Source organism: Homo sapiens, chromosome 4, assembly GCF_000001405.40.
Source record: "Homo sapiens chromosome 4, GRCh38.p14 Primary Assembly".
NCBI lineage: Eukaryota > Metazoa > Chordata > Mammalia > Primates > Hominidae > Homo > Homo sapiens.
Window position 1 is genome coordinate 181,306,950 of NC_000004.12, and position 13,079 is coordinate 181,320,028.

Below are 13,079 nucleotides of genomic sequence, written 5' to 3' on the forward strand. Positions count from 1 at the left end.
TAGATGAAATCTTAAGAGTTTTGAAAGATATTTGAAATCTATAAAAATTAATATATGTCATTGATGAGAAACATGTTACCTACAATGAGATCCCTTGAAATTGTCTAAACTCTAATAACAAGATTGTGGGATATTGGAGAGATTGAGAAACTGGGAGAAAGGAGATCAATATCTGTGAAACACCCAATATGTGCTAGACATATGCCAAGAACATTACGTATGTCATATCCCTTAATTCTTCTATAAAGTAGTTATTATTATTCCTACTTTATAGATGAGAACTGTGCAGGAAGTGTTCAATATAACAAAGCAAGGGAACATACAAACTCCTATGTGATCATTTTCACATGTCCACAGCCTCCTAGCATGGGGCAAAGTTGTAAATGAACACATACCACTGAAGGCTCACACCATCATGAGCTTGCAGTAGCAATATCCTAGGAGCTACCTGAAAGCTTCTGGGTACACATAGCTAAACTACGATACTCCTTACCCACAGATTTTGGCATGCCCCTTAAGAAGGCTAGAGGTGTTTTCCAGGCGCAGTGGCTCATGCCTGCAATCCCAGCACTTTGGGAGGCCGAAGCAGGTGGATCACGAGGTCAGGAGATGGAGACGATCCTGATCAACATGGAACCCCATTTCTACTAAAATACAAAAAACTTAGCCAGGGAAGGCGGTGCGTGCCTGTAGTCCCAGCTACTTGGGAGGCTGAGGCAGGGCAGTCTCTTGAACCCAGGAAGCAGAGGTTGCTGTGAGCCGAGATTGCGCCACTGCACTCCAGCCTGGAGACAGAGTGAGACTCTGCCTCAAAAAAAAAAAAAAAAAAAAAAGACGAAGAAGAAGAAGGCTAGGAGTGTTTAATCAGGACTGGAAAATAACTAATTTTATTTTATGGTTTTACTTTTTTATGCTTATTAAGATGAATTGAATCATGAAGTATAAAATGAGCTACATGATTAGAACCACTCCAAGAGTTGAAGACTGTAAATCTTATTTTTAAGGACTTCCTGTGTAGTACCAGCTCTGTTATTGATGGTGGGTTTTGTACACATGCCTGATCTTTGAGTTGCTAAAAAATACCACTGGAAACTGCATTCCCAGGAACAATGGAATCCCTGGCGAAGTGTTTCCTCCCTGAAGAATGGTAAAATGTCAAACAGACAAAAGTAGGAAAAATTATGTCTCCAGACAGATGCATTGCCACTGTAACTTCAGAATGAACTATTTTGTACTGTACACAACGTCTGCTATCCATCAATTATTCTATAAAAATACCATTTTGATAAAGAAAAAATATCTTAATTATTCACTGATCTTTCCTATCCAGAATGACTAATGACAATAATAACAGAAAATCTGCCCATTCTGAGCACCTGCAAGGCAGGCACTTTACATACGTATCTCTTATTTCATCCTATTCCTATTCTCATTTTAGAGTTGAAAAGAAACAGGTTTATAAACAGAATGAAAAATTTTCTTGAAGAAACTCAGACATTAGTAGAAAAATCTGGATTTAAACCCAATTTTATCTGAGGCCAAAACCCTTCTTTTTTTACTCTGGGAGACTGCCTTGGCACTTATAGCACGTAATTATAATGATAATATTTGTTTACCTACACCTTTCTGCAAGTGCCAAAGTGCTGTACAAAAGCAGGCAACTGATTTCTCTCTATGCCCATGAGGTTAGTATGTGTATATTATAACTCGCAGGCAGGCGGCCACACAGACTGCACTGAAAGTGGACCTGTGTCTCAGGACTCTGTGTAAAAGCACTTCTTACTCTTGAGCACATTTCCAAAACAAATAAAATGGAAAGAACAGGAATACCAAAACTAGATGGCCTCCTAACCTTGGTTCTTATTTGATTTTTTGGCTTTATGCCTGGGCATATATTTTTTCATCTAGAAATCATTTCTCTAAAATATGTTCTTCATGGTATCTACTCCATCTCCTCTGCTCTACTCCAGTGTGTGCCGCAACCCCCATTCACACTACTCTCACCTGCCTGTAGAAGAAACACACAAAACACTGAGAATGAAACAAAAACCACTCGCCTTTTCTTGGATCCAGAAACAGTCAATACCAGCATTTTTGGCCTCTGCTTCCTAGTTCTGTCTGGCCTCTCCACCTCTAGCTCTGTCTTTGTTATGTCCACTTAGTGGGCTTTGCTTTCTTTTGTTTAAACACATTCAGTCACTCTGCCTGTATTGTTTTTGTGGCTTGCCGAACTTAAACCTGTCGCTGCTCTTCATTCCAGTCAAAAGGATGAAGAGGGAGCTTATAAAAGCAAAAACAGATCATTTACATTGAAGATAAGAAAACAGGCAGTATTTCTCTAGCAATTCTGGGAAGCAAGGTGCCAATTCTTTTGGATATAAGGTTCTCCCCAAAGGATTAAGGAATAGGAATCCTCCACAAAATCTTATTTGGTCCCCAAGTTATGAAGATTTTTATTTTCTTTTTTTCCTTCTTTCTTTTCTTCCTCCTCCTCCTCCTTTTTTTTTTTTTTTTTTTTTTTTTTTTTTGTGTGTGTGTGTGTGTGTGTGTGTGTGTGAGATGGTGGGATGGGGTTTCATTCTGCCACTTAGGGTAGAGTGCAGTGACATAATCATAGCTTACTGCAGCCTCAAACTCCTGGGCTCCAGCAATTCTCCCACCTCAGCCTCCTGAGTAGCTGGGACAACAGACATGCACTACCACCAGCTAATTTTTTATTTTTTATTTTTATTTTTGTAGAGAAAGCATCTTGCTATGTTGCACAGGTCCTAAACTGAGCAGAGATCAAAGATCTTTGCTATATTGCACAGGTCCAAGACAGGAGGAATGCTTGAGGTCTTAAACTCCTGGCTTCAAGCAATCCTCCTGTCTTGGCCTCCCAAAATGATGGGATTATAGGTGTGAGACACCATACCCAGCCAATATTGTTCTTTAGCTTAGACTTGAAGAGACACTATAGCCATGTGGAGTGGAATCAATCTAGGTGGAGACAATTCAGTAACACTGTGGTTTAGAAAGAAGAGGAGTGACATATTTCGAAAAGTATATTAAAAAAGGAAAAGCAAATGCTCTTTTTAGTTTACATTAGATTGAATTGGGAGAATTTCCTACCTGTGAAAAGCACTCAGTAATTAGTAGTTGTGAGTATGTATGTTTGGCCTTGGCAAAGATGCTCTTCCTTGGGTGGGAGCTAGAGGCATGCCAGGGAGCAATACATAAGGATTTCCTCATTGGTTAGTTCCCAATTATCCTGTGTTTTTGGTAAATAATCTACAGTAATGTCTCCCAAACTTTTCAGCCTGGGGCAAATCTAGAACATTCAGAGAAAGGATAAGAAAAGGAGAAAGGATCCACCTACCTCACAGCAACCTTTTCTCATTGTAAATATTTGCATGTATGGGCTCAACCACAATACCAGCCTCTCTTCCATGGTGCATATTATTGGTCACAGGCAGCCTTATGAATGTATCAGCTGTTGTATCTCTTCTTTCACTGTAATTAAAATACTAATGTGTTTCCTTATCAAAACTGGAAAGCTAAGATCTTTGGACAATGAGTACTGTTACTGAAAAACAAGGTAACTTGGGGAAAATATTTCACAAATATTTCATGATGGAAATGTATTGTTTCATGATTCTATAAGAATAGATGCAAATCTCATTATGGAAGCTAAGAAGAGAAAAATGTTTCCATGGCATACTAATTTAGATAATAATTAATAAGAATGTTGAGTTTTAATCTAATTTTTAATTTAATATATTAATCTATTGGTATAAAACTTGTGATAGCTGGTCTAAAAGTGAATATCTGGTCCTTGAATTTTCAGGTGTTTGGTTGTTTTTTTTTTTAGTTAATTTTTTTGACTTTTTCCTACTGGTATTTTTTTACTTAAATTTGAAATTTACGAATCTCTTGGTCCCCACAGAATTCGTTAACTCTATATCTAGAGTAAAATAGAGCCAATTTAGCAGTAGCAGTGTTTGGTGATTCTCATTTTGGGCACAAATGTCTAATCAACACCTGCAGTCTGGGTATACATTGGTTAGTTTACTCTGCATGCTGCTGAGGAGGGTAACCTAACGATGCTTCTGATAGACTAAACATTTGCAAATGATCCCTCCAGTGCCTAAGTTATCCATGCAGTATAAAGCAAGTAGGCCTGGTTTGAAGTACTTTGCCTTTCTTTATTTATTATGACAAATAGGTTGGTATTATTTAAACACACCAGCAGCTCATGTGTCTTTCATTTAAGATGCTACCTATTTATGTGATTGAGAGAAAAAGCAGCAGAATGGCACAACTTAAGTTAACTGGCACTTTCTATGCATTTTCAATGTGTTTTTTTTTACATAATGTGAATGATACTTTTCATTTATTTGAAGAATTTTATAAATTGCTTGTTAAAACATGGATTTATTTATTAATTTGGTATTTTAAAATAATAATAAATTATATAGTACAACAATAGTTTTTTATGCCATAAATAAGTAATGCATATTCATAGCTCTTAGTATTACATGTAAGAATCACTTGCAGTGTTAGATAACACATATTGGCTTAAACTATTAAAAATATATACATATTCTATCATAAAACAAAATATATTTCATATACTTTGTTCTGAAAAATGAGCTTCAGGATGTGAATAATTAACTCTGAAATTCAGTATATACTCCATAACCACACAAATTTATGTATATTCAGTTTCAAATACAGAGTAGATGCCAAATTGTTTTACCAGAAAAGTGAGCAGTGCATTTTTTTTCCAAGAGTAAAGGGCACGGTTCAAAATAAAATTTTTCTGACTGCAACTAGCATTTTTATTTTTCTTCCCAGTGATTGGAATCAGCTCTCCATGGAGCAACAGGAATTGTGTCTGCTCTTTGCAGATGGGGCTGGAGCAAGCTCAAAGACCAAGTTTCCGAGAGTCAGCCATAGACAAGCAAAAATAAACTGTCTAAACTTTAGATTCTAAATCCAGACTGGGTAATTCACTGTTTTATAGTAATTAATTTAGAAGAAATATAATTTCGTTGAAGTTAAGATTTTGCAGTGAGCCGGAAATTCTCCCCAGGATCTGAAGATAAGAGATGATGTGTTTGCATTGCAAGGTCAAAAAAGACTGTCTTTGCTGATGAGAGAAACTCAGCAGATACCTATAATTGATTACTATGCCTGCCTTATCAACGGCAAGTGCCTGCTGGAATCTGGGCACTTCTTAAACACAGGATTCAGAGTTGCTGTACCATGGCAGTTCTCAGTATTCATGGAGTAACTAACTAATTTTAGAGTCGTCACTTGAAGGAAGGGCAAGTGACATGGACAGCTCCCATGCAAAGTTCTAATCACATAGAAAGGTTACGTGCTATGTGATACCCACAGGCTGTCTGCCAGACCAGTGGCTTAGAAATTTGCCTATGCTGGCATATACTTTTTCCCACCCCTTTCCTTATCTACCATGCCTGCAACGAGGTCTTGACTATATCTAAACCCAGAAACAGTATTAAATTTGCTAGCAAACTTAGTTCAAGGATATAGGGGAAAAAAATCAATTAATGTTGAAAACACATTAAAAAAACAAACTACGTGAAAAGTGTGTCTAAGTCATTAATAGCTCACGGAATCTCAGTTTTGGTTGACTTAGTACAAGATGCATAAATACATGACAAGGGCATTGGAAATAAAGTTGTCAGAGGAATGTCTCTAGACTTCCGGGAGCCGCAGACGGTGGAAGCCTCCATCCAATCCAGGCGGGTGCATCATTTGTTTACATTTGCAAGCCTCTTCTGAGATTGGCCTGGATCTTCCAACAGCAAGATCCCATGTTGCTTCTCCTTTAAAACCCAGCTCAGGCATCCATCATCCCTCCTAGTAACTGTCTCTGGCCCCCCGGCTATAGTGTGAATATCCTTCCCATCATAAGCAGTATGCATCCGTATAGTTAGCCTTCATGTTAGAATTATTCTTGGAGAGTCTCTTTTCACTGCCACACCTCTCATGGACACCGGATTTGTCCTTGTGTTCTCAAAGCCTAGCACAGTATCTTTTCCTTAGCAGGCATTCACTAATGGGTATTGAGTGACCTGTCATCTCAGACATAGCCACTCTGGATCCCCTACTGGTTACTCACACAGATCTATTCAACTCTTTCCTTCAACCGTTTGGATGGGCTTTTGTACAACAAACCCCCATGACACAGGTTTACCTATGTAACAAACCTGCACATGTACCCTGAACTTAAAACAAAAGTTAAAAAACAAAGCAAAAAATAGGTGGTTTTGGCCAACCCCGATCATTCATGCTCAATGGACACCTATAGAGAGATAGGGACTTGAAAGTTTAATACTCATATTTATTTTTTCTACCTTTTTGTTGCTAAATTATTATTATACATATTATTTTTGTTATTGTCATTAGCTACTCAGTGGTTGCCTACATTTTTAACCCTATAATATCCTCATCCCCCAAATCTTCTTAAATTTGTTTCAGTAATAACAGCACTAAGTAGTTAGGGTTTCTTATGCATCTCTATATTGATATGATGATTTTTGACCTTCCCTATTTCCACAGGAAGGACACTAGCTTAACCGAGCTCATCAGGGAAACTTTCTGCAGTAAGAAAAATTTCACCACTCTGTCATCTATAGATCTCCTCTTACACAATTGTATGGCATAAAGATTATATCTTATTTTGGTCATTTTAAAAGTTGTATTTATAATCTATCCCATTGCAGAGAGACATTGATTTTTTAAAGAAAAAAATGTCTAAAGGTACAGAAAATTAGAATAATTACCAGTAAATGGTCCACACAAAGTGAAATATACCAAGGCAAACACGTATTTACTATATCCTCATACCTGTATTGTTTTTAATGTAGTTGTGGGTTGTGACCCAGTAGTGGGTTGTAAAATCAGTTCACTAAGTTAAAACCAGTATTTTTTAAAAATCATATTGAATGCAGCAGAAAATATCAGAGTTTATAACATATAGTAAGAATAAATATTACTTTCTAAAACTTTTTCCGTGTGTGTTTAAATGCATATGTGTAATGTACATTTTTATGGTGGATCATGATAAAATGAATATAAATGAAATGCAGCAATATAAGTGTATTCCTAATATGGAACTGGTGATTCACAGGGTGTGAGCCTACAGAGTTTCTTAGATAAGACCAAATTGTTTTCCAAATTTGTTTTTAAAAAATTAATGTATCCATGAGTGGTTTACAAGTTTCCATTATGCCACATCTTCAGCAGCAGTTGTTATGGAAGACTTTCAAATTTTTGTCTAATATGGTGAATAAAAAATGGCATGTCATGTGATTTTAACATACATAGCTCGACTACCAATGATGTTTGTCTAGTATTTAAGGGCATTATGGGTTCTTCTTTTGAGAAGTACCTTTTCATATTATTTCTCCATTTTCCTTTTTGAGTTTTTTTTTTTTTTTTGCTTTTGTAAGTCATATATATATATATTCTATGGTTATGTGTTTTTATATTAAGGTATATTTTTCCAAACTATAGATAAGCTTTTCACTTTATTTCTGCTACATTTTGTTTAACAGAGTTGTTAATTTTCATGTAGTCAGATTGGTCACTTCTTTCCTTTATTGGTTGGCGAATTTTGGTTTATATTGAAGAATTCTTTCCCTACCCTAAGTCATAAAGCCATCATTACACAGTTTCTCCTATTTTATTTTTGTAGTTTTTGCCATTTAGAGTTAAGTCTTCATTTCACCTGAAATTGATTTTGGTGTATGGTGTGAGGTAAGGATCCAGTTTCACGTTTTCTAAAGAGGTAGTCAATTGTCCAAGCATCTTTTATGAAACAATTTATCATTTCCTCTTTGATCCATAATCAGTAATCTCATGCCACTCCATACTTGTTAGTGTGTTTTGGGACTTTTGATCTAGTTTATTATTTTTGAACTCTTATCACATCATTTTAATTGCTATAATTTCCCTCGTTTTGAATAAGTCTTGATGTCTCATGTACACTTTGTTTTTCTTCAAAAATGTCTCAGATATTTTTGGGCCTTTGCTCTTCTATGAATTTTAAAGGAAGCTTACCAAGTTTCAAAAAAGGTTGCTAAAGACGTTTATTAAAGGAATCTCTAAATATTGTATATATTGTTGCTATTTTAAGTGTTATTTAAAAATTGTGTAATTTGTTTGCTGTTAGACTATAGAAACATATATTACTTTTATATTTGTATTTATTCCTATGCCCAGCCACTTTGTTATGCCTTCTTATCTGTGCTCATGTTTTGTCTAGCAGATATTTAAGTTTTAGGGGTTAACAATTATTCCATCAAACTCTATTTCTTTTTTTCTAATCCATATATTTATTTTTGCTTCTTGACTTATTGCCCTGAGTATAATATTTAGTGCAAGCAGCTTTATTGCAGCCTTGACTTTAATAAGAATGCATTTAAACATTTTACAATTAAATACAATATTTGCTGTAGGGTTTTTATAGATATCCTTTATCATCTTTAGTAGGGACTCTTCCACTTTTAGCTTTTTAAGCTGGTTTAATCATGAATAGATATTGAATCTTATTGACTATCTTCTGCATTTATTGACATAATCATATATTTTCCCACGTTTAATCTATTTATATGGAATATAATATATTTTCCATATGTAAATATATTAATATATTTTTATATTTCTGTCTTTCTGGGATAAAACTAACTTGAGCATGATGTATTTTTTATTGTTGTAATAGTTTTGTTAATATTTTTCATTTAAAATGTTTACATTTATATTCAAGAGTGAGATTGTAATTTTAAGTGAAATCATCATAAACATTGATACCTGTATTGAGCTCATATTTTTTGAAGTACCATTTTAAGTGTGCTTACACTGAATATTCATTTGTTTCAGAAACGTATCAGCATTTGTATAATAATACAGTTGTTAAAACATAGACAGCTTGATTTTGAATTCTTCACTTACTGATTCTACCACTTACTGATTCTATGTACTTTCTTTCTCTTAGCCTCAATTACCTTGTCTGAAATATGGACTTAATAATTGTGCCTACTTTATGGGAATATTTTATCATTCATATGAAGAGCTAACACAGTACTTGGAATATAGTTCACATTAAATAATGACTACTTCTGTTATTTTAATTTTATTAAAGAAAATTATATTTTAATCATGTCAACAAATATTTTTATTTATAACTTAAATTTGTTAAACTTTGCTGTTCCTAATCCTTAACGGATCTGTTATTTTAAAGGGGACATTTAGAGTATTACTACTTCTAAATTGCCATTCACAGAGATTTTCATTTTCCGCATTATGGAACAAAAGACAGTTGGGGTTTTTGTTTGTTAGTTTGTTTTTAATACTATTCATCCGAACTTCCAGTCCTCCCCTTGAGAATATAATGATATCACTTGCTGAGGTCAAGAAGAGGTGGAGCTGTCCACCAATAGAAGCTACATGGGGACAGCACGATAGAACTCTGAGGGGCCTTTGAAGAAAGTGTCACCCCTGTGAACAATAGTCCACCCAGTGCACATTGGATTTATCTAGCTTTCCTTCCTCAAAAAGGAAGGATATTCTGCAATCAACTATAGCAACTCTTTCCACTTTATAACACTTTCTTAACATTACTTAATTTAAAAACACTGTCCTTACAGAGAGGCTTACACTTTAGGTATACAGTAAAAGTATATACAGAGCAGTAGGATTAGAGAATGAAAGTTCGATAGCTAGACAGCATGGGTTCAAATCACAGTCTACTGCATTAGGTTAGTGATTGAACCGAGGCCTTAATTTTCTCTTCTGGACAGAGGATAATGGTTGTTGTTTAGAAGAATAAATGAAATAATGTGCTGAGAATGCTAATCTATAGCCAGCACTATGTGTGTTACTAAAATTATTATCTTTATGCTATACTAGAAAAGGCTGTCTTTGGTTTAACTTTTGGATATTACCTAACAATATGTTTTGAACATGCCTCAAATGCTCTACTTAATAGATATTTTTTCTTTAGTCAATTCAAATCTTTTGAAATGTTTTAATCCACATATTATTGTTTAGTCTTAGGAAAGATACATATTATGCCTAAAGATCAAATTATTGGGCCATTATATATAGCACTCTGATCTCCAAATGAAGCACTCTAAGCATTTTTAAATTTATTTTCCCTTATAATAATCACAACTTTTTTCAGAAAAGATGATTTTTATGTAATGATTATACCACAATTTTCTTTCGTAGAATCCATAAAATATCCCTAATATTTTCAATGTGATAAATACCTGCCAATTTAGAAATTTACACTCACAGTATCCAAATGAGTTATATTGTATCTTGCTAGAAGCAATGTATCTGTATCAGTGTCAAAATACTATGGACAACACAGTCATTATTCCAAGTCAAATTTTTATCCTTAAGCCCAAATATAAATATATTTTCAAATAAATGCACTGCTTCAATCCCCAGTAAATATATTTTTAGGGGAAATGAAAGTCAGTTCAATAATACCCATGGGCACCTAATACCCTTGCATAATCATTCTGACTTGGTTGAGAAGAGTTGTTGTATGGACATTACCTACCTTATAGGAATGCTGTGAGGATTAGAGAAATATCTGAAAAATGATTTGAGCTTCTTCAGGAAAGATGGTATTAATATGAGATGGTATTTTTATTTCAATGAGCAGGGGATTGAAAGAGGATTATTTCCTGAAGTGGAAGGGAGGCCTGGTGGTGAAGAAATCAAATGCTCCACCTTAAATAAGATGGATTACAGTGATATCCAAGGGACACTCAGCTGGTTCAAACCTTAGTTGCAAGAAAGAGGAAGCAGCCTCTAATCCTCCAGCCAGTCAGCCTTGGTTTGCCTAAATAGATCCATTCTAGAGGAAAGTAGGTAGCGATGGAAAATGTTTGGGGTCAAGACAGTCGATAGCTATTGAGCTCATATAGTTTATTCTCTCCATGTCACTCCAGATGTGATGCATTATAATTTATGTAAAACTGGGAGGGAAGAGCACAGTAAACCATATGATTAAGCTAGATATGTTTAAAGCAAATGTCAACAGGTAGGAACTATGCATCTGCACTACCACATCTCTGGATATAGGTACACAGACAATTAATCTGGGCGTAAAAACCCAACAGAAACTGGTTGATTTTAGAGCAAATCTAGTCCCCCATCCCCTCCACCATCATGAAGTTACACAAATCAGCACTGCTTGGTTCTTATTCTGGGTAGTTAAGCATATAATAAAAGAGTAGACTTCTACCTTCTTAATTGATTTTTTATTTGTTTGTTGTATTAGTCAGAGTTCTCCAATGAAACCAAACAAATAGGATATATATATATACACACACACACACATACATATATATACATATACATATATATATTATATATGTGTCTGTGTGTGTGTGTATATATATATATATACACACACACACACACACACACATATACACACACACACACACACGGCCAGGGGGAGACACAGAGAGATAGAGATTGATTTGAGAGATTTATTATGGGAATAGGTTCCATGTGATTATGGGGTCTGAGAAGTCCCACCATACGCCATCTGCAAACTGAAGAACAAGGGAAGCCAGTGGTGTAATTTAGTTCGGGGTTGGGAACTGGGGTAGGGGGTCAAAAGGCCCAAGAATTGGGAACTCTGATGTCCCAAGACAAGAGAGACGAACGACCCTGCTCAAGGAGAGAGAGAGCTCATGCCTGTAATCCCAGCACTTTGGGAGGCCAAGGCAGGTGGATCACTTGAGGTCAGGAGTTCGAGACTAGCCTGGCCAACATGGTGAAACCCCGTCTCTACTAAAAATACAAAAATTAGCTGAGTATGGTAGCTGGCACCTGTAATCCCAGCTACTTGGGAGGCTGAGGTATGAGGATCGCTTGAACCTGGGAGGTGGAGGTTGCAGTGAGCCAAGACCATTGCACTCCAGCCTGGGCAACAAGAGCAAAGCTCAATCTCAAAAAAAAAAAAAAAAAAAAAAAAAAAAAAAAAAACGGGGAAGAGAGAGAAAGAATTTTACTTCCTCAGCCTTTTTGTTCTGTTTAGACCCTCCACGGATGGGGCCATGCCCATCACATTGGTGAGGGGGAGTTTTCTTTACTCCTCTACTGATTCAAAGGCTAACCTCTTCCAGAAACGCCCTCACAGAGCACCTATGTGGGCATCCAGCAGCCCAGTCAGTGTGACACATAAGATTCACTGTCACAGTTGTTTTTCTCAGCAATCACAATCCTTGTCATTTCATCGCTTTATTATATTTAATCATTGTTGGTTTTGCTGCAGAATATATTGTGATTTTTAATATCACTACTACAAAAGACACAGAATATAGTCATGTGGATGATATTTATTCATAATTCATGATTCAAAGTGCAGTCTATATTGGAAAGTGAAGTAAAACCAATCTAGTTTGCATCAGGTACAACTATGAGATGGCTCTTAAAAAAATAATTGAAAATTGATGTTAGCAGTTAATAGCAGACAAACTCCCAAAATCTTTATTCAGTGAAAGATGAGAATTGTAAAACCTTCAGAAAAATCTGAACTTCCTAAAATTGAATGGGGGAAATACTATAGGTAAGGCATAAGTTAGAAAGCTTTGGCTCTGTGGAAGATTCAGAGCTGGCTGTGTGATGTTGGAAATTCACTTAAACTGTCTGAACTTCTGTCATTGTCTTAGGGTGAGACCTGAACCCCAGTATTTTTTTTTTAAATATCCATAGTCAATTCCAATATGTAGGCAGGGAGAATAACCAGGATCGGTACAGGCCAGTCCTTCTCAAATTTCAATGTGAGTACAAAGCACTTGGGAATCTTGCTGGGCTGGTGCCTGAGATTTTCTGTGTGTAACGAGATCCCGGGTACTGCTGCTGCCACTGGCCTGTGGCCCACACTTTGAGTAGCAAAGACACAGGTGATAGTTTGGAGGGTGGCTAACGCTTATAGGCGAAAGCTATTCATTCATTCAGGCTACTCTTCATCTTCAGTACACTCCTTACCTGGAATCCAGCATCTCTCTCTTCTAGAAAGATCAGAGCTATTTCTAGTG

At 35.9% G+C, this 13,079-nt stretch overlaps 1 annotated feature.

Moving 5' to 3' along the window:
• Positions 1,923-2,440: an enhancer, noted in NCBI's record as "NANOG hESC enhancer chr4:182230025-182230542 (GRCh37/hg19 assembly coordinates)". NCBI's record gives its function as "activates a minimal SCP1, AML or CMV promoter by ChIP-STARR-seq in primed H9 embryonic stem cells {active_cell/tissue: H9 hESC(primed)}" and the evidence as "EXISTENCE:reporter gene assay evidence [ECO:0000049][PMID:30033119]".